The sequence below is a fragment of the Homo sapiens genome, chromosome 14 (assembly GCF_000001405.40).
Source record: "Homo sapiens chromosome 14, GRCh38.p14 Primary Assembly".
Taxonomy (NCBI): Eukaryota; Metazoa; Chordata; class Mammalia; order Primates; family Hominidae; genus Homo; species Homo sapiens.
In genome coordinates this window covers 30559128-30585371 of record NC_000014.9, presented here as the reverse complement: position 1 = coordinate 30585371, position 26244 = coordinate 30559128, and the positions used below count along the sequence as shown (strand labels likewise).

General features: G+C 36.6%; 1 protein-coding gene and 1 long non-coding RNA gene across 9 annotated transcripts in view; one reads left to right on the top strand and one right to left on the bottom strand.

Annotated features, from left to right (window-relative positions):
* Positions 1 to 26214, bottom strand: part of G2E3 (G2/M-phase specific E3 ubiquitin protein ligase) — a 60907-nt gene extending 34693 nt beyond the window's left edge. For 4 of the 8 annotated variants that reach the window (NM_017769.5, XM_011536926.3, XM_047431554.1 and 1 more), the window contains exons 1-2: positions 26100 to 26214; positions 4256 to 4296 (exon numbers count right to left, since the gene is read on the bottom strand). In NM_017769.5, coding sequence (NP_060239.2) covers positions 4256 to 4292 — 37 coding nt within the window. In that variant the 5' untranslated portion in view covers positions 4293 to 4296; positions 26100 to 26214. Of the gene's footprint in view, positions 1 to 4255; positions 4297 to 7525; positions 7612 to 26099 lie in introns of those variants that run through there. The other 4 variants (NM_001308097.2, XM_047431552.1, XM_047431557.1 and 1 more) reach the window with 2 other exon arrangements.
* Positions 8015 to 26244, top strand: part of G2E3-AS1 (G2E3 antisense RNA 1) — a 139366-nt gene continuing 121136 nt past the window's right edge. Inside the window, exons 1-3 of the long non-coding RNA NR_151720.1 lie at positions 8015 to 8042; positions 11738 to 11865; positions 24537 to 24635. This is a non-coding gene — a long non-coding RNA (G2E3 antisense RNA 1). The remainder of the gene's footprint in view (positions 8043 to 11737; positions 11866 to 24536; positions 24636 to 26244) is intronic.

Genomic DNA, 26244 nt, shown 5'->3' with positions numbered 1-26244 from the left:
TGCAAAAGAACATAGGTGAACCCCTACCTCACACCATATATACAAATTAATTAAATACCAGCCAAGGATCTAACAATAAAATTCTTAGCAGAAAGAATAAGGGTAAATCTGTGTGACTTTGGATTTGGCAATGGCTTCTCAGAGTTCACATGATACTAAAAGCACAGGTAACAAAAGAAAAAAATGATAATTGGACTTCATTAAAATGTAAAACTTTTGTGACTCAAAGGACACTATTGTCTGGGTACAGTGGCTCATGCCTATAATCCTAGCACTTTGGGAGGCCCAGGCGGGCAGATCACAAGGTCAGGAGTTCGAGACCAGCCTGCCCAACATGGTGAAACCCCATCTCTACTAAAAAAAAATACAAAAATTAGCTGGGCATGGTGGTGTGTGCCTGTAATCCCAGCTACTCGGGAGGCTGAGGAAGAAGAATTGCTTGAACCTGGGAGGTGGAGGTTGCAGTGGTGAGCCAAGATTGTGTGACTGCACTCCAGCCTGGGCGACAGAGCAAGACTCCGTCTCAAAAAAAAAAAAAAAAAAAAGGACACTATCAAGAGAGTGAAAGACACTCTACACATCTAAAGGTCTAGTAGCCAGGATGCATTAAAAAAACTCTGATAACAACAAAATCACCAACAATCCAATTTAAAAATAGGCACTAGATTTGAATAGACATTTCTCCAAAGAAGATATACAAAGAGCCATTAAACACATTAAAAGATGCTTAATATCACTGGTCAGCAGTCAACAGAGAAATGTAAATAATAACAACAGTGAGATACCACTTCACACTCACAAGGATAGCTGTAATCAAAATGTCTGACAATAACAAGTATTGACAAAGGACTGGAAAAAATCAAAACCATCACACACTGCTGGTAGAAATATAAAATGATGTAGAGCTTTGGGAAATAGTCCAGCAGTTCTTCAAAATTTAAACAAAGAGTTACCATATGACACAGTAATTCTATTCCTGGATATACATACCAAAGAACTGAAAACAGATGTTCACACAAATACTTGTAAACTAATGTTCACAGCAGCACTGTTCACAATAGCTAAGCAGAAACAAGCCAAATGTCCATCAAAGGATGGATAAGTGGATAAACAAAATATGGTATGCCCATATGATGGAATATTATTCAGCAATAAAAAGGATGAAAGTAGTAATACATGCTACAGCATGAATAAACCTAGAAATATTATGTTAAGTGAAAGAAGTCAAACACACACAAAGGGTCACAATATTACTCAATTTACTTATGGATTACTTTATCCAACATAAGTAAATCCACAGGGACACACAAAAAGCAGATTAGTGGTTACCAGGGGCTGGGGACACGGAAAATGAGGGGTGACTACTTAATAGGTACAGAGTTTCCTTTGAGGGCGATTAAAATGTTTTAGAACTAGATAGTGGTGATGGTTTCACAACATTGTAAATGTACTAAATGCCACCAAACTGTATATCTCAAAATAGTTAAAGTATGAATTTTATGCCTATTTTATCCACCCCTCCCAACACACACAAAAATACAACTTGAAGAGTCAGAGAGACCTGAGTTAAGACTCAACTAATCCTTTTTTAGAAAACTGTATATACTTACAATGTTTAGCACGATGTTTTGATATATGTACATATTGTGGAACAGCTAAATGGAGCTAATTATCATATGCATTACTTCACATATTTACCACTTGTGGTGAGAATACTTAAAATTTACTAATTTTCAAGTACACAATACATTGTTATCAACTATAGTCACCATGTTGTACAACAGATCTCTTGAACTTATTCCACCAGTCTATTATAAAATTTTGTATCCCTTCACCAACATCTCCCAATCCTCCCAACCGCTGGTAACCAGCACTATACCGTTTCTATGAGTTTGACTTTTTTATATTCCACACATAAGGGAGATTATGCAGTATTGTCTTTCCATGACTAGCTTACTTCACTAGTGCTTTATGACTCCATTTCCTCATCATAAAAATGAGGATAATAGTACCTACCTCAAACTATGCCTTAGTGAGGACTAAGACAGTGTATATTAAAATAATTAACAGGATATGACATATACATAGAACCAAATGTTAGTATAATAACTAATCTTTTCTGTTACATGTTTATTTATACAGAAAATTTTATTAAGATGCTAATGAAACAAGTTGAAAATCACTAGCTGAAAAGACAGGATCCCTAAGAAGTAGATCCCTACAAGATGAAGGGTGCTTGCATCTCTAAATGATTGCATACCGCAGAAACTCCCTAACTGCTCCATCTTCCTTAAACCATGCACACTGGACTGTAACCTGACCAAGCAATAAACTTCTCTTGTTTTAAACCAGTAAGATGTCAGGGTTTACCAGTTATGGAAACTAGTATTATTTACCTTGAATAATACATGCAATCAAGAATAGATGTCACATGTTAAAAGGTATTATATTTGTTAATAGGCTGCTCACCAAATAGATTCTAGAACTGAAAAGAAATAAGATGAGCTCGTATTTAATATAGTGAAATAGCCTAACTACTCTGCCCTCCCTCACTCTGGTTTAAAGGGATAAGTCATAACTCGAAGTATCTCTCCTAACCCTTTAAAAGATTTCAGCTCCTCTTCCTTCCCTTCCATACAAGGGAACTGTTCACATTAACTCCAGCAAATTGCCATTTGTTCATATTGGACATTCTACACCAGTAAGCTCCACCTTAACTCCATCCCCAATACCTACACTTTTACCCGCAAGTGTGCATAAAGCTCAAGAGAAAGAGAATTATGTAGAATTAGCTGAGTCTACAAAAGAGGAGTCCTTGTGAACTGGCTGAAACTATAGAAGAGGGGAAACTCTTGCCATGAACCCTGGATGGAGGTACATCTGCTGTATGCTGTGGACCTGTGGTTTTCCATTTGTTCCTCTCTCCCCTTGTCTCCCTCTACCCAGTATGGAGGGCCTTGAATGCAGAACAGACTAGGTTTCAGGCATGCATTTTTATAAGTAGATTATTTTTATATTCATTTGTACCTTCCTGCTTTTAATGTTTAAAATTTGGTAAAATTGTCCTGATTTCATTATATTTATTATTAAGATTGGTGTCTAGTGTAGTAAATGATACTGGTTTCTATTACAATAATGAAGTAAAGTTTCTACCTTAAATACATTCATGTAAATAAAGAAACAGTCCATCTTAGGAAAAAGTATCAATAGTAGATGTGTATTTGCATTTGGCAAATGCATAGAGGTAGTCCATGAAGTACTAAAAGTTTCAGAACTATTAGCATAGCTGACAGAAGGCTGGAGGTAGAAGCAGGGAAAGAAAGTAGAAGAGGTTTAGGAGCATAAATTTCCTTATCCAACATAATGTGGTGTCAAAAGATACTTTAAAAGTAATGATCAAGATATAGAGTTGTAAGAATAATATTTTAATTTTAGAGTGAATTTAAAAGGATCTAAAATACAGTGGATGAGGTAGAAGTGGCAGAAGAGTGTAATCATTTAAATTCCTCATATTTCATTGTAGCAAGACAACAGATACTGTTTATAATAAATGAAGAAAACAACAATTAAAAGCAAAGGTCAAAACGGACCGCATCTATTTGGGAAGATTGTTGTGAGCACGTAGAGGTAAGTTTTCCTTTTATTTTCTTTAACTTTTCTTCTTTTTTTTGATACAGGGTCTCGCTCTGTCACTTAGGCTGAAGTGTAGTGGTGCGATCTCTGCTCACTGCAACTTCTGCCTCCCGGGTTCAAGCGATTCTCCTGCCTCGGCCTAGCGAGTAGCTGGGATTACAGGCATGCGCCTCCTGGCTAATTTTTGTATTTTTAGCAGAGATGAGGTTTTGTCATGTTGGCCAGGCTGGTCTTGAACTCTTGACCTCAAGTGATTTGCCTGCTTCAGCCTCGTAAAGTGCTGGAATTGCAGGCGTGAGCCACTGCACCTGGCCAGTTTTCCTTTTCCTGTTAAACTTTTACACACTGTTTAAATTGTTCTCATCTGCATTTTTTCCTTTAAATAACTGTTTTATTGAGATACGAACCATATCTTATATACATAAAACAAATATAAAATTTGGCAAATAAATTGCCTTCTGATAGGTTTTTGTTGAAATAAATATATGCAATATTATACTTTAGTATGTGGACATACAAACTAAGCTTGTGCCAGGGAATTCATTCCTCTTCAGTCCTAATGTTTAAGTAACATATTTAAAACACTCATTGTAATAAAATTATTTTAAATACAGTTACTTACCAAGGTTCTGTGAGTCACCAGGTTTACTTTCATTCATTTTACTAGGAAAAATAACATTAATACAGTCATCTTAATTGTAAAAGTCTCAAATTAACAACTTTTATTACTTGCAGTCAATGCATAATGACAAATAAGTCATCTAATACTCTAGTATTTAAATTTTTCTTACCTTTAATACATCTAAGATCAGTAGTTCTCAACTGGGGTGTTAAGAGTCGGGAACATTTTTTAAATTGAAGGGAATGTTTTTTAGCTGTCAAAACAATTAAGATGACCACTGGTATTTAGTGGAAAGAGGCCAGGATTATAGGACATCTTGCAATGCTCCAAACAGTCCTACACAACAAACGATAGTCTAGACTTTCAAATTTCCATCTGGACATTCAAGTAGGTTAAAAAAATCTACTTGTAATTAACCTAGAACCTAAGCCCATTTTACATATTAACAAATTATATTTGCAGAACTACAACTCCTATGTCAATCAAGGAAATTTCTATTTAATTTTTCTTCAAAGCTTTACCCAGAATTGTTCATCATTTAGGAAAAAAGAAAAATCACATCATCAATAGCCATGCCATTCGTATTTGTGCAGCCTATAAAACAATCCTTTGGCTGGGCTTGGTGGCTCACACCTGTAATCCCAGCACTTTGGGAGGCTGAGGCAGGTGGATCACCTGAGGTCAGGAGTTCGAGACCAGCCTGGCTAACATGGTGAAACCCTGTTTCTACCAAAAATACAAAGTTAGCAGGGCGTGGTGGTGCATGCCTGTAATCCCAGCTACTCGGGAGGCTGAGGCAAGAGAATTGCTTGAACTCGGGAGGTGGAGGTTGCAGTGAGCCAAGATCACACCATTGCACTCTAGCTTGGGCAACAACAGCGAAACTCCATCTCAAAAACAACAACAAAAAAAAACAAAAACAATCCTTTATTAGTCTATACCGTATTTGTGGCTGTTGCATTTGCCAGGATTCTATACAGGGCTGCAGGCACCTGACTGTCTTGTTACCTCTTCTAGTACGGTAGTGCTCAACCATTTACATACTGAAAGACATTGGTCTGTCCCTATCTCCTCACTCTCCACTAGTTAAACAAATAAAAATACTTATAATCATTACTGAAATATAACTTTTCTCTAAAAGATCAAAGAAAAGAAGACCAACATCTTAATAACATTAAAGTTTCACTTCACCAAGGGTATATGAACAGCCTACTAGAAATGTTAATGAGATTTAAGTACAATGTATGTGCAATCTCTTGGTATTTAAGTGGAAAAGAATAAAACATAATAATGCCACTAGGTAAATATAATCTCATTTATAGTTGCAAAAACCAGTTCTCAGAAAGGTTAAACACCTGTCCAAGGTCAAGGAGTTAGTTAGTGGGAATACACTAACCCATAACTGAGTGACTGCAGGTTACACCATGGTACTTCATGTGAAAATAATGAAAGAGAACAAAAAATAATACAGAATATTATATATCAAAGAGTGAAAACCACAAATACAAACTGCTATCAGATTTCATCAAATCTAAGACACCACAAAATGTAGGACACAGATTATTTTATGAAGACTGATTAACCAAATTAAACTTATACAATGCTTCCTTACAATTAGAATTTATATTTCATACTGACTGTAAAAAGTGTTTTGGATTTAAACATAGTTTTGCTCATATATATTTCTGTGCTTTCCTAAAAAGTCATAGTTCAAATCTCTTAAATGGCTTTGACTCTAAGCTTTCAATATTTTGTTTATTCCTTACAAAATAATATTCTATGCCATTAAGATTGGTATTCTTAAAAGAATGTATAAAACAACTAAGAGCCCAGTTTTAAGGGGGCTTTAGAGTTAAGTAGGTCTAGAGTACTATTTTTCCTAGCTCCTCTCCACAACTATTAATGTAGGGTTAAAGGAGCACTCCTTTATTGTCTCTTGGATTTTTTTCTTTCTTTTCTTCCTTTTAGAGGCACTAGTAATTCTCTACAGGTATACGATGGCGCTTTTGATGTTTATACATTCTCAAACAATAACTACAGAACTGCCTTAAGTGAACAAATTGATTGAGGATCACAATCTATAGAACATCATTTTAAACATGCTGATACATCTAAGACCAGTTCTCAATAAAACTCAGAAACAGATCCATATTTTTCCAGTCATTTTCAACAAAGACACCAAAGCAATTCAACGAGGGAAAATAAAATCTTTTAAACAAATGGTACAAGAAAAACTGAATATCCATATGGAAAGAAGCGTGTGTGTAGAAGGGTTGAGTCCATCTTAAAATTGATAAAATATAATAGGAAGATAAAATGCCTCCTCTTAAAGGACTTCTCTACAGTTCAACCTCTGGTGATGAATTCAACATATCATAAATCCATCCATACACATGAATTTATTGCAGAAAATTCCATAAACACATGATAAATAGTACTTCACTTAAACATAAAAAGTTTAATTTATAAAGGATGTTTTAGTCATTCGACAATACAGATTTACACTGTCATCCAACCTAGACACCACAAAATGTAGTGCATTTAAATTTTACCTAAATGCTATCCTTCTCCAAAATCCTGTATAAAATCTACTGTAACTCCATTTGGTAAGAAGCCCTGTGGTCCCTCTTGTTTGCACTCTCTCTCACTGGCGTGGGTCAATAAACTTAATTTTATCAGACTACTGGTTTATCCCTGGTGGTGTTAGGCTGACTGGGCTAGGATGAGACAAAGAATAACACAAATGGCACAAAATGAACATTTAGTGAATCTAGATAAAGGATATATAGGAGTTCCTTATGCCATTCTTACAACTTTTCTCTAAGCTTGAAATTATAGCAGTATCAAATTACCTAAAAGTTGATTATTCTAAAGGCATTCCATAATTCATACTTTTGATCAGTTCACATTAGCCTTCCTAATCCCTAGCATGTGGAGTATAACTTTTGTTTCTAAATCCTGAATGAGGATCACTTTATTTCAAACAAGTCTCCAAAACAAAACCTTAGTAAAAAAAATAAGTACTATTCACATATTTCAGTTGAATTTCATAATTTCTTTTAGATGTTTTCCTTCAAGAATATGAATTTTAAGACTTCCCAAGCAGAATTAAAAAAAAATAATATCTAAGTGTATAGTTCAATAACAGTCCAAGTCTTAATAACAGACTGGACTTTAGAAACAAAATAAAACCATTCCCTTCCCTGGAAAATAAACAATTTAATTAATACCTTCTGTCAAAAGGTATTCTGAGTGTCCTCCACTGCTTACCTCTACTTGATCAGTCAGTGATACACTTTCATACTTCTTCCTTCAAAAGGTAAAGCCTGCCCCTCTCCTTGATTGTAGATGTGCTTAGTGCTTGCTAACTTGCTTCAACAAAAAAGACTGTGGCAGAAATGACAATGTCATAAAAGGCATTGTGACTTCCTCCTCACTATCATGGATCACATGCTATGGAGGAAGCCAGCTGCCATGTCATAAAAATTTTCAACATACACCATGGAGACACCCAGTTGGTAAGGAATGGAGGCCATTCTACCTTCTGTTATGTGAATAAGCCATGTTAGAAGTGAATCCTCCAGCCCCAATCAAGCCTTCATACGACTGCAATTTGGCTAACAGCCTGAGAGCAACTTCATACAAGACCCTAAGCCAGAACCACACAGCTAAGCAGCTCCCAAATCCCTGATCAACAGAAACTATCAGTAATTAAATGTTTATTGTTTAAAACCAGCAAGTTCTGGAGTTATCTGTTACACGACAACAGATAACTAACACAAAAAAAGTAAGTCAAATTCCTTCTCATTCCAGCTGATGGCTAACATTTGAATAAATAAACAGATCCTAACCACCCAACATTTTTTCTTTTTCTTTTTTTTTTTTTTTTTTTTGAGACAGAGTCTTGCTCTGTTGCTAGGCTGGATTGCAGTGACGCAATCTCGGCTCACTGCAACCTCCGCCTCCTGGGTTCAAGTGATTCTCCTGCCTCAGCCTCCCGAGTAGCTGGGACTACAGGCATACGCCACCACGCCTAGCTAATTTTTGTATTTTTAGTACAGACGGGGTTTCACCATGTTGGCCAGGATGGTCTTAATCTCTTGACCTCATGATCCGCCTGCCTCTGCCTCCCAAAGTGCTGGGATTACAGGTGTGAGCCATCGTGCCTGGCCCCATCCAACATTTTCTAAAGTGCCTAATCTTACTGAAAAAGGTGACATTGAATATACAGAAAACATGCTGGAATCAGGCACTTGAAAGAGAAATTGATTGATTTTTTTAATCTAGCATTTTTAAGAAATGAACATTCTTGCTATAGAAATGACTTGATTTAAATCACTAATCAGAAAGGTTCAACTTAGTCTATGCATTGCATTATTCGATGTACTCTAAATTCCTTTTACAACTCAGAAATGTTGTCTATGGATGTCCCATACATAATAAAGAATTAATTTCTCTGATTCAGCACTGCATAATAAAACATGATGTTTGTCAGATGCATAGTTTGCAAATATTTTCTCCTATTCTGTAGGTTGTCTGTTTACTCTGTTGGTAGTTTCTTTTGCTGTGCAGAAACCCTTAAGTTTAACTAGATCCCACTTGTCAATTTTTGCTTTTGTTGCGATTGGTTTTGGAGTCCTTGTCATGAAATCTTTGCCCATTCTTATGTCCAGGATGATAATGCCTAGGTTGTCTTCCAGGGTTTTTATAGTTTTGGGTTTTACATCTAAGTCTTTAATCCATCTTGAGGTGGTTTTTGTGTATGGTGTTAGGAAGGGGTCCAGCTTCAATCTTCTGCATATGGCTAGCCAGATATCCCAGCACCATTTAATAAACAGAGAGTCTTTTCCCTATTGCTTGTTTTTTGTCATCTTTGTCAAAGATCAGATGGTTGTAGATGTGTGGCCTCATTTCTGGGCTCTGTATTCTGTTCCACTGGTCTATGTGCCTGTTTTTGTACCAGTACTATGCTGTTTTGGTTACTGGAGCCTTGTAGTATAGTTTGAAGATGGGTAATGTGATGCCTCCAGCTTTGTTCTTTTTGCTTAGGATTGCCTTGGCTATTTGTGCTCTTTTTTCGTTCCACATGAATTTTAAAATAGCTTTTTCTAGTTTTGTGAAGAATGTTGTTGGTAGTTTGACAGGAATAGCAGTGAATCTGTAAATTGTTTTGGGCACAATAGCCATTTTAATGATATTGATTCTTCCTATACATGAGCATGGGATGTTTTTCCATTTGTTTGTATTTTCTCTGATTTCTTTGAGCAGTGCTTTGTAATTCTCATTGTAGAGATCTTTCACCTCCCTTGTTAGCTGTATTCCTAGGTATTTCATTCTTTTTGTAGCCACTGTGAATGGGATTGCCTTTCTGATTTGGCTCTAGGTTTGGCTGTTTTTGGTGTATAGGAATGCTAGTGAATTTTGTATGTTGATTTTGCATCCTGCAACTTTGCTGAAGTTGTTTATCAGCTGGAGAAGCTTTTGGGCCAAGACTAAGGGGTTTTCTAGATACAGAATCATGTAATCTGCAAAGAGATAGTTTGACTTCCTCTCTTCCTATTTGGATGCCCTTTATTTCCTTCTCTTGCCTGACTGCTCTGGCTAGGACTCCCAAAACTATGTTGAAGTGGTGAGAGAGTATCCTCGTCTTGTGTCGGTTCTCAAGAGGAATGCTTCTAGCTTTTGCCCATTCAGTATAATGTTGGCTGTGGGTTTGTCATAGATGGCTCTTATTATTTTGAGGTATGTTCCCTCAATATGTAGTTTATTGAGAGTTTTTAACATGAAGGGCTGCTGAATTTTATCAAAAGCATTTATAAGGAACTTTAATTTACAAGAAAAAAACAACCCCATTAAAAAGTGGCCAAAGGACATAAGCAGATACTTCTCAAAAGAAGACATATACGCGACCAACAGGCATATGAAAAAAAGCTCAACATCACTAATCATTAGAGAAATGCAAATCAAAACTACAATGAGATACCATCTCACACCAGTCAGAATGGCTATTATCACAAAGTCAAAAAATAACAGATGCGGGTAAGGTTGTGGAGAAAAGGAAACACTTATACCCTGTTGGTGGTAGTGTAAATTAGTCCAACCACTGTGGAAAGCAGTATGGCAATCCACAAAGAGCAAAAAGCAGAACTACCATTTTACCCAGCAATCTCATTACTGGGTATATAGCCAGAGGACTATAAATCATTCTACCATAAAGACACATGCACACAAATGTTCACTGCAGCACTATTCACAATAGCAAAGACGTGGAATCAGCCTAAATGCCCATCAGTGACAGACTGGATAAAGAAAATAGGGTACAAATACACGATAAAATATTGTGCAGCCATAAAAAAGAGTAAGATCATGTCTTTTGCAGGAACATGGATGGAGCCGGAGGCTATTATCCTTAGCACAGTAATACAGGAACAAAAAACCAAATACCGCATGTTCTCACTTGTAAGTGGGAGCTAAATGATAAGAACTCATGAACACAAAGAAGGAAACAAGAGACACTGGGGTCTACCTGACGCAGGAGGGTGGGAGGAGGGAGAGGAGCAGAAAAGATAACTATTGGCTATTGGGCTTAATACCTGGGTGATGAAATAATATGTGCAACAAACCCCCATGACATGTTGTTTACCTATGTAACAAACCTTCACATGTACCCCCAAACCTAAAAAAAAAAAAAAGTTAAAAAAAAAAGATGAACTGTATTTTATTTACTACAAATGCATGAAGGATCCTGGACTGTATCCTGCACTGGGGAATAAAACTGCTCCAAAGGACATCACCGAGGCAATTGACCAAAACAATATTTAGTTGAAAGTATTGTATTTATGCTAAGTTTCCTGAAATTGGTATCCATATTTAGGTTATTTAGTAGACTATCACTGTTCTTAGGAAATACTGAAGCATTAAGGGGTAGGGGGACCAGATATATGCAACCTACTCTCCAACGGTTCAGAAAAGGGAAGTTACATGCAAATGTACAATACTGCAGGATGATAAAGTGAATGTGGAAAATAATAAAGAGTGGTTAATCTAGGTAAGGGCATATGTAGTTCTTTGTACTTTTCTTGCAACTTTCCTGTAACTTTAGAATAATTTCAAAATAAAAAAAGGTTTAAAAATAATTGAATTAAAAGTAATATAAAACATTCCCAAAAAATTCAAGATCAAGATTAATACAGTGTGATGGTTAATTTTATGTGTTACCTTTACCAGGCCACAGGACGCCCAGATATCTGGTTAAACTTATGTTTGGATGTGTCTGTGAGAGTGTTTCTGGAAAAGATTGGTAAACTTTACTCAGTTTACTGGTGAACTGAGCAAAGCAGATGGCCATCCCCAGCGTGGGTAGACATTAGCTAGTCCACTGAGGGCCTGAATAAAACCAGAAGGCAGAAAAAGGTTAAATTTGCTGTCTGACTGCTTGAGGTAGGACATCAATCTTCTGTCCTTGGTGTTCCTGGTTCTCAGGCCTTCAGATCCGGACTGGAACCTATACCATCAGCTGTTTGGCTCCAGACATTCAAACTACACTGCGGGACTTTCCTGGGTCTCCAGTTTGCAAACAGATAATGGGACTGTTCACACTACATAATCATGTGAGTCAATACCTTATAATAAATTAATCAATCCTTCCCTCTCCTTCTCTACACACACAGAGACACACACACACGCACACACACACACACACACACATATCCTGTTGTTTCTGTTTCTCTGGAGAACTGTGACTAATACACCCATGTTACCTCGGGATAGATAGTTAATACACTTTATGTGCTCCTACAAATTTGGAGACAAAAAGAAATACTCTTAAAGATTTGTTAGTTACTTTGGTTCACAGCAACAGCTAAGATAAAATTAGAAGAAAGACATTCAATGGTAGAGGTCAAAAGCTATTAGAATTTTTTTTTCATGAATCAATTATTTACATTCTAGGAAATAATAAACATATCTTAAAAATGTACATAAAAGCCAGGCACAGTGTTATGCACCTGTAGTCCCAGCTACTTGAAAGGCTGAAGCAGGAGGATTGCTTGAGCCCAGGAATTTGAGTCCACCTTGAGCAACATAGTGAGACCTCCATCCAAAAAAAAAGTACATAAAACATCAATATGATCTTCAATGTTTTTTAACCATAAATTATTACAAAAAGTAGCATGGTATAGTAGAAAGAGTACTAGGGGCATTGAAGGTATGAAGTTTAGACTTTCCTTCATGTTCTATATGTTTTTTCCTGAGACCTCAGCCTCAATTTTATCATCCCTCAAACTAGAAGCTAATTACAGGTTATTGTAAGAATTAGAAACAACACATAAACGCCACAAGAGTACCTGGCAAATTTAGTCAATCATTGGTAGTTTTTCTTTTAATTAAAAAAAAAAGGATAATATATCTTAACTGGATTTATCTTAGAAATATAAGATTAGATATCATCTGAAAAGTAAAGTAATACACCATGTTAATACAATAAGGGGTGAAAAAAGTATGACCATCTCAATAGATGCAGAAAGAGCATTTGACAAAATTCAACAACCAATCATGATAAAACTGTAGGACAAACCAGAAACAGACGGGAATTTTCTCAACCTAATAAAGGGCATCTACAAATGTGCATTAATTTCCACACTGTACTGTGACACAATGTCAACAGATACAAAAGGGCATCTGACAAATGTCAATATCCAATCATAACAAAACTGTAAAGCAAACTGTGGGTAAAATAAATTTTTTCAACCTAGCGAAGGGAATCTACAAACGTTCACCTTAGTCTCTGATTCAACAGTGTACTCCAAGGGAAAAGAAGACAAAACTGTGAAGGATGAAGTAAAACTGTTTTCACATATGATCATCTACATAGAAAATCCTACCAACATATTTATAAGAATAAGTGACTTTAACAAGTTGTAATGAAACAAGGCAAATCTGTATAACAGCAAGAATTAATCAGAAAATTAGAGAACAATTCTATTCACAATAGGTAAAAACTTAGTAAAAGATGTGGAAAAAGACTACACTCTGAAAAGCTACAAAACACTGCTGAGAGAAATGAAAGACCTAAATAAATGAAGAGATAGACAATGCTCATGGGCGTAATATTGTTAAGATGTCAATTTAACACAATCCCAACCAAAATCCCCAGCAGGTTTTTTTTTTTTTTAAGATACTGGCATGCTGATTCTAAAACCTATATAAAAATGCAAAAGTCTTGTAATAGCAAAAACATTTTTAAAAAGAAAAAGTGGTCTCCAACTATGTGATTTCATGACTTCTTATAGAGCTATGTTAATCAAGACAGATGTGTAGCTCAATAGATCATAAGGGAAAAGTCAGATATATAGCTCAATAGAACACAAGGGAAAGGCCAGAAACAGACCCAGACAATTGCTTTTCAACAAAGATACCAAGGTAATTCACTGTATTCAAATGGTAGTCTATTCAATAAATAGTATTGAAATAACTGAATGCTTTGGGCGGAGGGTGGGGGGAAGAACATTGACCTCATATATTAAAACTTAATTCAAATTGGATCACAAGAAAAAAAACTTCTAGAAGAAAACATAGTGAAGAATCTTCATGATCTTGGGGTTTGGCAAAGATTTCTTAGGAAACTGAATCATAAAAAACACTGATGAATTAAACATCAAAATTAAGAACTTTCTAATCAAAAAAACATAGTTAAGCAAAGAAAAAGGCAAAACACAGATTGGGAATAAACACTGGCAAAACATATACCTGACAAAGGATTTATATCCACAATGCATAAAGAATGCTTACAACTCAAATAGACATCACAATAAAATGAACAAAATGGACAAAAGATTTGACCAGACATTTAAAAAAAACACAACATAGCCAACAAGCAAAAGAAAATATGAACATCACTGGTCATAAAGGAAATGCACATTAAAATAGCAAAAAAAAAAAAGCAAACCCACTACAGCACCCACAAGAATACTTGTCTCACAAAAAATGAACTCAAAATGAATTACAGCTCTAAATACAAAATGTAAAACTATAAAATTTCTAGAAAAAACACAGAGGAGAAAATTTCTGTGACCTTATGTTACGTAAGATTTCTTAGATACAATACTGACAGCACAAGACAAAAAAAGATAAACTGTACTTAAAGTTAGTATCTTCTGCTCATCAAAAGACACTGTTAAGAGAATAAGACAAGCCTCAGACTGAGAAAGTATTTGCAAATCATAATCTGATAAAGGACTTAGTTAGATCCACAATATATTTTCTGAAAAAACTCTTCAAACTTAGTAATACAGAACACATCCACGAAAATGGTGGAGCAAGGGGCTCTGCAGGCCTGTACCTCCCTAGAAACACAGAAAAACCTGGCAAAAAACTCACAATCAACAATGTCTCAACAAATAGAGAATATCAATAAAGAAGTAGAAATGATAAAAAGGAAATAGAAATTCTGCAGCTGAAAAGTACAATAACTGAAATAATAAATTCATTACAGAGGTTTAACAGCACGTTTGAGCAGGCAGGAGAAAGAATCAGCGAACTTGAAGACAGGTTAGTTGAAATTATCCAGTCTGAAGAGCAGAAAGAAAAAAAATGAAAAATAAACAGAGCCCAAGAGACTATGAGACACCATCAAGTATACCAATATATGCTTAATAGGAGTCCAAGAGGGACCGGAGAAAGTGGAACAGAAAGAATGTTTGAAGAAATAATAGCCAAAAACTTCCCAAATTTCATGGAAGACTGAAATCTATACAGGTAAGACTTCAATCTACACATTTTTAAGAAGCTCAAGATCTTTAATCAGGACAAATTCTAGGAGATCCACATTGAGACACAGTATAGTCAAACTGACAAAAACAAAGACAAAGAATCTTGAAAGCAGCAAGAGAGAAGTGATTAACACATACAAAATATCCCCAATAAGATTAAGAGCCAAATTCTCATTTGAAACCATAGAGTTCCAGAAGGCAGTGAGATGACATATTTAAAGTGCTGAAAGACAGGAAAAAAACCCAAACCTGTAAGCAAAGAATCCTATCTGCAGCAAAACTATGTTTCAAAAGTGAAGATGAGTACACATACTCACATGGGAGGCAGGCAAGTAAACAAATATTTCACACACATGCAGTGTAGCCTTACAGAGGTGGTGATATTATAACGTAATTGTGAAAAATAAATATTCTGAGCAGACAAGGCAGAAAAAGCATTCTAAGTAGAGTGTGTGCAAAGGTACAACAGTGTGTGAAAGCCTGGGATGTTTGGGGAATGTCAGGAATTTCTTCTGGAAGTTGCTCTTGCTGATTCTGCCATTTGGTTGGATTATATAAATCTCCTTGGATTGGATTATCAGATAGTAAGTAATATAATCCCCCCCCTTCACCAGCTGGTCCTAACCCTGACTTCGTGGGCAGGTCTTATTCCAGTCCTAGCCCCTTCCACTGACCAAGTCAGGCTCTAAATAACCAGCCCAATCCAAAGTACCCTTCTTAAAGCAGGTGGCATCTTTTTTACTACAGTTCAGGCAATAAAGGCTATTCTGTCACAACTCCCACAGAACCAGGTCTTCTCCTGTCTAAAAAATAAGGCCTTAATTATATTTTAACAGGACAATGTATCTGCTACCTTATGTGACAGAGCAATTAAACTTTTAAGATTCCAGGCAGGACCCAGGCAGAGGAACATGGCAGAAAGAACATTACACTTGAATTATACATTTTCTGTGTTTGAACTCCTTGCTCTGCCTTGTGTCCAATGGAGATGATAATACCTACCTATTAGGGTTCTTATATGCAAAGCAGGAGAAGTAATTCGATGGAGAGAAGGAAGGGTGAAAGGAATTCAGAAAGATCAGAAGTTTCTGAGATCAAGAAAGACCATAAAGTTTTTAGGTCCCTAACTGTTAATGGTGGTTATCCCTGGGGAGAGAGAAGGGGTAGGGGCTTTTTCTTTTAATTTCTTATAAATTTTGGCATTGTTTGACTTTTTACAATGAACATAATTATGTACTTAAAATATATTTGGCATATATATTATACCTCAATAAAAAGTTTCTTAAAAGCTTATATTCTCTGGAAAATCATCCAGGAGACAGACAAGAATGGCTGTTTCTCAGAAGGTCTGGTAGACCTGGGGTCTAGGGTGAAAGGGAAACTTTTAGTAGATCTGTCCTACTAGAGATGCTAATGGGACACCAGACAGTAAGTCAAAGCCATACGAGGAAATAAAAACACCAGTAAAGGTAATTACAGAAGTAAATATAAAAGCCAGTAGTATTATTGCACTTTTGGTAATTCTCTTTTTCCTTTATGATTTAAAAGAAAAACACGTAAAATAAATATAAATCAATGTTATTGGGCACATTATGTATAAATGTAAAATAAGCAAAAAATATAAAATGTAATTTGACACAATAACATTTAGGAAGAAGGATGAGATATACAGAAGTGTAATTTTTGTATACTATGAAAGCTGAGTGGGTATTAATTCAAACTAGGTTGTTATAAGTTTAAGATATTAATTGTAATCCCCAAGATAGCCACTAAGAATATAACTAAAAAATATGTGCAGAAAAGGTAATGAGAAGGGAATCAAAATGGTACACTATACAAATCAATTAAACAAAAGGCAATAAGGAAGGAAATGAGGAACAGAAAGATAGTATTTAGAAAACAAATACTAAAATGTCAGAAATCCTTCCTTAACAGTAATTAAATGTAAATGAATTACACGCTCCAATTAAAAGGCAAAGGTTGACAGAATGAATTTTTTTAAAATCCATACATACACTATCTACTAGGGTCAAGCTATAGATATCAAAACACAAATAGATGGAAAGTAAAATGACAGAATAAGATACTTCATACAAACAGTAATCAAAAGTAAGCTTGGGTGTTTATACTAATGTCAGACAAAACAGGCTTTAAGTTGAAGATTGTTACAGGACTCAAAGGACATTAAAGACTGACTAAAAAGTTCAATCCATCAAGAAGACATGACAATTATAAACACAAACCCACCTAATAAGAGCCCCAAAATATACAAGGCAAAATTTGACAGAAATGAAAGGAGAAATAGTTTAGACTTAACATATACAGAACACTCCACCCTACAACAGAATGAAACATTCTTCTCAAATGCACGTGGAACAATATCCATGGATATACCATGTTAGACCACAAAATAATACATTTTACAAGACTGAAATCACACAAAATATCCTCTCCAATGACTATGGAATGAAACTAGAAATCAATAAAAGGAAAACTGGAAAACTGAGAAACATATGGAGATTAAATAACAACTTTAAATAGACAAAAAGTCAAAAAAGAAATCACAAGGGAAATTAGAAAATACTTAGAGACAAATAAAATCAAGCCCCCAAAACAATGACCCAACTATATGCCCAAAGAAACTAGAAAAAGACCAAACTAAACCCAAAGCTAGCAGAAGGAAGGAAATAATTTAGAGTCCAGATAATGTAATAAAAAAATTTTTAAATTGAGAATCAATAAAATAAAAATTGCTTGAGAAGATCGACAAAATTGAAAACGTTTAGTTAGATGACCCAGAGAAAAAAAAGAGAAGACTCAAATTACTAAATCAGAAGAAATGAAAGTGGGACACTGCTACAGACCTAATACAAATAAAAAGAATTAAATGAGACTATTATGAACAATTGTACTCTAAGAAGTTAAAAGTTAACAAATTAAACAATAGGTTAAACAAATAACAAAAGTGACAAGAAGAAATAGAAAATTTCAACAAATCTACAAACAAGAGATTGAATCACTAATGAAGAACCTCCCAACGAATAAAGTCCTAGCCCAGATGGGTTCACTGGTGAACCCTATTAAACCTTTGAAGAAAAATTGGCACCAATCTTTCTCAAACCCCTCCAAAAGATATTATGACACTTCCTAACTCATTTTATGAAGCCACCAATACCCCGATACCAAAGCCAGAAAAAGACATCACAGAAAATAAAACTACAAGCCAATTATCTCTTATGAACATAGATGCAAATATCCTTAACAAACTACCAGCAAACTGATTCTGATAAAGAAAATTTTGTACCATAACCAAGTGGGATTTATCCCAGAAATGCAAAGGTGGTTCAGCATATGGAAATCAACCAATATAATATACCATACTAATAGAGAAAAAGGAAAAGGTCACATGCTCATCTCAATAGATGCAGAAAAAGCATTTGACAAAATACAACTCATTGATGATAAAAACACTCAAACATTTAGGAATATAAGGGAACTTCCTCAGCATCTATGGAAAAACCTGTAATTAACATAATTATCAGTGAAAGACTGCACACTTTCCACCTAAGATCTGGAACAAAACAAAGATACACACTTCCACCACTTGTAGTCAACACTGAACCAGAAGGTCTATTCAGAATAATAAAGCAAGAAAGCAAGAAGTAACTCTATTCAAAGAAGGCATGATCTTATATGTAGAATTTCCTACAGAATTCACAAAAAACTGTTAGAGCTACTAAACGAATTCAGCTAAGTTACAGGATGCAAGATCAACACACAAATATCAGTTGTATTTCTATATAACAATGAACAATCCAAAAAGGAAATTAAGTAAACAATTCCATTTACAATAGCATAAAAATTACTTAGTAATAAATTTAACCATGGTGGTGCAAGATTTTTGCACTGAAAACTACAAAACAGTGCTGAAAGAAATTAAAGAACTGTAAATAAATGAAAAGACATTTTGCATCCATAGGTTGAAAAACTATTTCATTAAGATGGTTATACTCCCCAAAGCAATTTATGGATTTGATACAATTCCTGTCAAAATCCCGATGGCCTTTTTTTGCAGGAATGGAAAAGCTAAGCCTAAACTGCAAGGGATCCTGAATAGTCAAAAGGATCCCCAAAAAGAAAAAGTTGGAGGATTCAAATTTTCCAATTCCAAACTTACTACAAATCCACTGTAATCAAGACAATGTGGTACTGGCACAAGGACAGACATACACATCAATAGAAAAGAAGAAAGAGTCAATAAATAAACTCACGTTTTATAGTAAACTAATTTTCAATAAGGGTGCCAAGACCATTAAATGGGAAGAAAACAGTCTCTTCGACAAATGGTCCTGGGACGACCAGACAGCCATGTAAATAAGAATGAAGTTGGCCAGGTGTGGTGGCTCACGTCTGTAATCCAGCACTTTGGGAGGCCGAGGCGACAGATCATGAGGTCAGGAGATCAAGACCATCCTGGATAACATGGTGAAACCCAGTCTCTACTAAAAATACAAAAAAATTAGCCGGGTGTGGTGGTGGGTGCCTATAGTCCCAGCTACTTGGGAGGCTGAGGCAGGAGAATGGCATGAACCCAGGAAGTGGAGCTTGCAGTGAGCCGAGATTGTGCCACTGCACTCCAGCCTGGGCAACAAAGCGAGACTCCATCTCAAAAAAAAAAAAAAAAAAAAAAAAAAAAAGGAATGAAGTTGAACCCCTACCTCACACGCATTAAAAAAAATCAACTCGAAATGGATCAAGACCTAAATGTAAAAGACAGAACTATAAATCTCTTAAATGAAAATCTAGGGGTAAATTTTCATGACCTTGTATTTGGCAATGGTTTCTGAGATATGACACCAAAAGCACAAGCAACAAGAAAAAAATAAATTGAACTTTACCAAAGTATAAAACTTGTGCATCTAATGACAATCTACAGAATGGGAAAAAATATTCAGAAATCATATAACCTGAAAAGGGTCTAGTATCTAGAATACATTAGAAACTCTTACAATGCAACAACAAAAAGACAAGTAATCCAACTTAAAAATGAACAAAATATCTGAAGACATTTCTCCAAAGAAAATATTCAAATGGCCAACAGCACATGAAAAAATGCTCATTATATTAGTGATAAGTAAATCAAAGCCACAATGAGACACCACTTCATGTCCACTATAATAGCTATAATAATAATTTTTACAAACTAAAATAGTAAGTGTTAATGATGATATGGAGAAATTAGAACCCTTACATATTGCTAGTGGGAAAGTAAAATGATGCAAGGGTGGAAAACAGTTTGGCAATTCCACAACACATTAAACAAGACTACCATATCACCCAGCAATTCCACTAGCTATGTAACCAAAACAATTGAAATATTTCAGTTCAAACAAAAACTTGCATACATATGTTCACAGCAGCACTATTCACAAAAGAGATCACTAAATCAATACATTACAAAGAAACAACCTAATTATACATCAATTGATGAATGGATATACAAAATGTGGTATATCCATAGAATGATTATGTGGCAATAAAAAGGAATAAAGTACTGAAACATGCTACAACATAGATAACCTTGAAAACATTATATTAAATGAGGGAAGTCAGACATAAAAGGTTACATGTTTTGGAACTAGGTAGAGGTGATGGTTGCACAACATCGTGAATGTACTGTCACTGAAATGTCTACTTTAAAATGGCTAATTTTTGACTGGGCATGGTGGCTCACACCTGTAATTCCAGCACTTTGGGAGGCTGAGGTGGAAGGATCGCTTGAGGCTAGGTGTTTGCAACCAGCCTGGACAACATGGTGATATCCTGTCTCTATAAAAAAAATTTTTAATTAGCCAGTCTTGGTGGCAAATGCCTGTAGTCCTAGCTGCCTGGGAAGCTGAGGTGGGAGGACAGCTGGAGTCCAAGAGTTGGAGGCTGCAGTGAACTATGATTGTGCCACTGAGCTCCAGCTTTGGGTGACAGAGATCTTGTCTCAAATAAAATGGCTAATTTTATAAATGGGAATTTTACCTCAAAAAAAGGTCAAATGTACACCTATCATATGATGCAGCCAAGAGAAATAAGGCATATGTCCATTGTACACAAAGGTCAACAGAAACTTTATTTGTGATAACTAAAAACTGTAACAATGTATATGGATAAAACAAACTGTGGTATATTCATACAAGAGAATACATTTACTAAAACTCATTGAACTATACCCCTAAAATGGGTGACTTTTATTGCATACAAATTGTATACCAGATACTTGTTTAAAAGTTAACAATTTTTATTTAAAACAAAAGGATAAGTTTAAGATAAAAAGCAATGGCTGGGCGCGGTGGCTCACGCCTGTAATCCCAGGACTTTGGGAGGCTGAAGCGGGCAGATCCCTTGAGGTCAGGAATTTGAGACAAGCCTGACCAACATGGCGAAACCCTGTCTCTACTAAAATCACAAAAATTAGCCGGGCGTGGTGGCAGGTGCCTGTAATCCAGCTACTCAGGAGGTTGAGGCAGGAGAATCACTGGAACCGGGAAGGCGGAGGTTGCAGTGAGTCAAGATCCCACCATTGCATTCAGCCTGGGCAACAGAGTGAGACTCTATATCACACACACACACACACACACACACACACACACACACACACACAAAAGTAACAAAGTTACAAGTTTACATTAAGTTATCAATATATAACTAGTCCCCAGGAAACAGATGTCATCCTCCCCTACCCCACCCCACCCTACCACCCATTGGCTCCATATGTCCATTTTCATGTTTCTTCATGATTCCACTGTCATAGCAACACATAAGACCTTTCCAGCTTGGCTTCCAATAGTCTTGTGATATCCCAACTCCAAAATCAAGAAATCACATGAATGGTCTAGCCTGCATCAGATATGCAGCTCTGATATAAATACCTGTACCAGTTTTGTTGGGGAAGTGGTATGGGACTTTAAGTGGTATGGGGCTTTATGTCCCTTAGACCAACCCTACCTACTGGTCATGAGAATGATGTCCCTACATTGTTGGGCAGGTTTTTAAAGAAAAGCTGTGGGCAAGATTAGGCAACTGTCTTAAGTGATCAAACGGAAAAAGAAAAGTTTTGTTTTTTAATTCCCTAACATTTTGAATTAAGATACTTTTTATTACATCTAACATACCACTCATAATTAAAAAAAAAAAAAACTGTACCAAGAGTGTAGGGACCAGCCCCACAGGATCGGTGGGTTTTTCTCCCCGTGTGCGGAGACGAGAGATTGTAGAAATAAAGACACAAGACAAAGAGATAAAAGAAAAGACAGCTGGGCCCGGGGGACCACTATCACCAAGACACGGAGACTGGTAGTGGCCCCAAATGCCAGGCTGTGCTGATATTTATTGGATACAAGACAAAGGGGCAGTGAGCCATCTCCAATGATAGGTAAGTTCACGTGGGTCACGTGTCCACTGGACAGGGGGCCCTTCCCTGCCTGGCAGCCGAGGCAGAGAGAGAGACAGCTTACACCATTATTTCTGCATATCAAAGACTTTTAGTACTTTCCCTAATTTGCTACCGCTATCTAAAAGGCAGAGCCAGGTGTACAGGATGGAACATGAAGGCAGACGAGGAGTGTGACCATTGAAGCACAGCACCACAGGGAGACGGTTAGGCCTCCAGGTAACTGCGGGTGGGCCTGACTGGTGTCAGGCCCTCCACAAGAGGTGGAGGAGTAGAGTCTTCTCTAAACTCCCCCGGGGAAAGGGAGACTCCCTTTCCCGGTCTGCTAAGTAGCGGGTGTTTTTCCTTGACACTGACGCTATCGCTAGACCATGGTCCTCTTGGCAACGGGCGTCTTCCCAGACGCTGGTGTTACCGCTAGAACAAGGAGCCCTCTGGTGGCCCTGTCCGGGCATAACAGAAGGCTCACACTTGTCTTCTGGTCACTTCTCACTATGTCCCCTCAGCTCCTATCTCTGTATGGCCTGGTTTTTCCTAGGTTATGATTGTAGAGCGAGGATTATTATAATATTGGAATAAAGAGTAATTGCTACAAACTAATGATTAATGATATTCATATATAATCATATCTAAGATCTATATCTAGTATAACTATTCTTATTTTATTATTTTATTATACTGGAACAGCTCGTGCCCCCAGTCTCTTGCCTCGGCACCTGGGTGGCTTGCCGCCCACACAAGAGGAAATTAAATATTTTAAAAATACATTTTAAAAGCTACTAAATCTTTTGGTGCCTCAGTTTCTTCATCTTAATATAGAGATAATAAAATGGTTGTGAGGATTAAGTGAGAAAATATGTATAAAGCATTTTAAATTCATGAATATTAACAAACATTGCTCCTGATTTTTTGCCACTTGAAATGTCCTCTGAGCCTATAATTTCAATACTTATTTTTCCATAGTTTATAAACCATATGCTATCACTAAAATCTCTACTAAACTACACAGAATTATATGCTATCATCTCAGAAAAAAGCCAAGCCTTAAAAAAAAAAAAGCAACAACTTTTTGAGTCATTAACCCAAGACAAAATGTGTTAAATTGTTAAAATAATAAGTACTCACTGAACATACACAGTTTCAGAGTATCATGACACTCACTGTTCTGCACTGTGCACTGCAGACATAAAAATTAAAAGGACAAGGGCAGTCTCGCACTATATATTTATAAGCAAAAAGCACAGCCTGGAGAAGTCTTTAAACCCATTTGAGTAAAATCTTAAGGGGAAATAAAAAGGCCAATGGCTAAATATGCATAAAATGTAATAAGAGATAGATTTGGAGAATTCTAGTAGTATTGATAGAACATCAGCAGGTTGGAAGAGACTGGTGTAATATTATGAAGATGGTCCTTGGGAAGAGAAGTTGGTACCAGACTCTGAAGGGCTCTGTAAATAAAAAGCAAAGCTAAGAAATTTGAATTATATATGGTAGACAATGAGAAGCCATCAGAGATACTTATGGAGCAACATCTGGAGGGAGACTGAAGAGAGGCAAGAAATATTACTTTTTTAAAAAAGCATAAACTTTTGAGTTAAATCTAATTTCCGACTTCAGTTCCAACGTGTTACTAGTTGTGTGAGAACAAATTACCGAGCCCCTCTTAGCCTGTTTTCTTATTTGAAGATAGTAACTACCTCAGCGATATTGTAAAGATTAATGAGAGAATGTATGTGATGCGGTTTTTACAGTTTAGTAACTCAATGTAATTGGAGACTTATGTATCATTTGCTATGTGGCACACACTATTTTAAGGTCTTTGTATATATTAACTCATTCAATCCTCACAATAATCCTACAAAGTAGGTAACCTCATCATACGGTAGAGGGAAATGAAGCAGAGAGGTTAAACAGCTTGCCCAGGGTCACCTAGCTATCAAGTGGTGGAGATGGGCTTCAAACCAAGGCAATCTGGCCCCAGTTCCATGTCTTTAATCAACACATTATAATGCCTTTCTAGGAAAGATCAAATCAGTGTTTTGAAAACTCACAGTATTTTCTAACCTTTCAGTTAAATATGCAGACTGTTCAATGCCATCCTCCAGACCTACTGATTCAGAATCTGAGATCTGAAGTGCAGGAATCAGCATTGTTGAACAAATCCTTCAAGGTAGTGTATACACAATAAATTCTGAAACTCACTGATTTAAGAAAGAGCAAAAATCCAATGAAAATAATTCAGGTAGAAAAAAATAAAGAGATTAGGATATAGCGATCAATTTTTAAAAATTACCATTTGTTGACAGCACATATGAAATGAGCAGAAAGGCTTAGAGAAGTATAGCCAATGTCTCTGTTACAAAGACACTATATGAAAAATGCTCATATTTTAACTATCCTAAACACCGAGTATTTAAGTCTATTCTTCCTGGCTAACACTTAAAAGTTCAATAGCAGGAAGAATGGGGGTGCTGGAATAGCCAGCACTGGATGAAGGAATGTTTTTATTCTGATTATTATGAAGTCCTACTTTTAAAAATATATTTATACATTTAAATGGTACAATATCCTGGTGTTAAAACCTTAAAAGGAACTTAAAATATCTTTTCGTATTAAGCTACACAAAACTGACGATTTTTAATAAAGATGTAAAACTTGTACACATTTAAAGTTCCCATTTATAGTTTACATTTATGGCACACTTTTAAACCATTCCAGAAGGCATGACTTTACTACTGGGTTAGACAGAGTTCCATATTTCAGATAGTTCATCATTAAAAATTAAAAAAAAAAAAGCCCAAAACAATAAAACCCAAAGAAACAGATGCTCAAAGCATTAGTGGATTACTTCCAAAAAGACTCCATAATAACCCAGTTGGCCAATGAATGAGGGAGGCGAAAAGGCAGGGCGGTGGAACTAAACCTTATCCCTATTGTTTGCAAACTAAGACCCTAGTTAATCACCACCGCTGTTACCACAGCCGGTTTAAATAGGAGTCTCGGATTTTTGCGGTACATGAAAAATGTCAACCGTGAAAGAAAAATATCCGGGTTTTAAATACAAAGGACACTCGAATTTCAGTTTAAATCCCACTCAGGCATTTCAAAGACTGTCACTTCCCTGCAGTCCAGAGTTAATCAAGGTTGCCCGGGTATCTCTCTCAGGAGGAACGCGGAGCCACGTAGAGCATCTTTTCATTCTAAACCCGCCCCAACCTTCCATCTTTCATTAAAAGAGATTTGTTTAAACGTGGCAACGCCTTCACAGTGAGATTTAACTACTGTTAAAATTTCAGCATTCGAGCCGAATTGGTGGAAATAATAAACTACGGGTTTAAAAAAAGCCACGGAGGATGCGTATAAACAAGGTTTACTCGCGGGGGACCGGCAGGGCCTCCGAATCCTCAACACTGAGAGCTGGCTGGCGTGCGCAACCGTCGAGAGCGCTGGTCCAGCAAACGCCCCCAGTGCCCCGAATTCCCTTAGTCTCCAGGCCGGGCCCCAGCACCAGACGTCCCCAAAAGCACTGCGAGGCCCCGGCTGCGACGTCCGGCCTCCTGACACCCTCTCCCACCCCACGGTCCTGCTTCTCTCTCTGGAACGTTCTGCGTCTTCCCGTTCCCCATTTACTCACCAAGGAGAGCTGGGCAGAAGTTCCAGAGCCTCAGTGCCACTTTTCCCGGCCCGCTGTACGTCGGGGCACGCCGACCGCGAGCAGCCACATTCAACGGCCCACAGGATTCAAATTCGTCCACTTCCGCTCGCAAACCCGGAAAGAG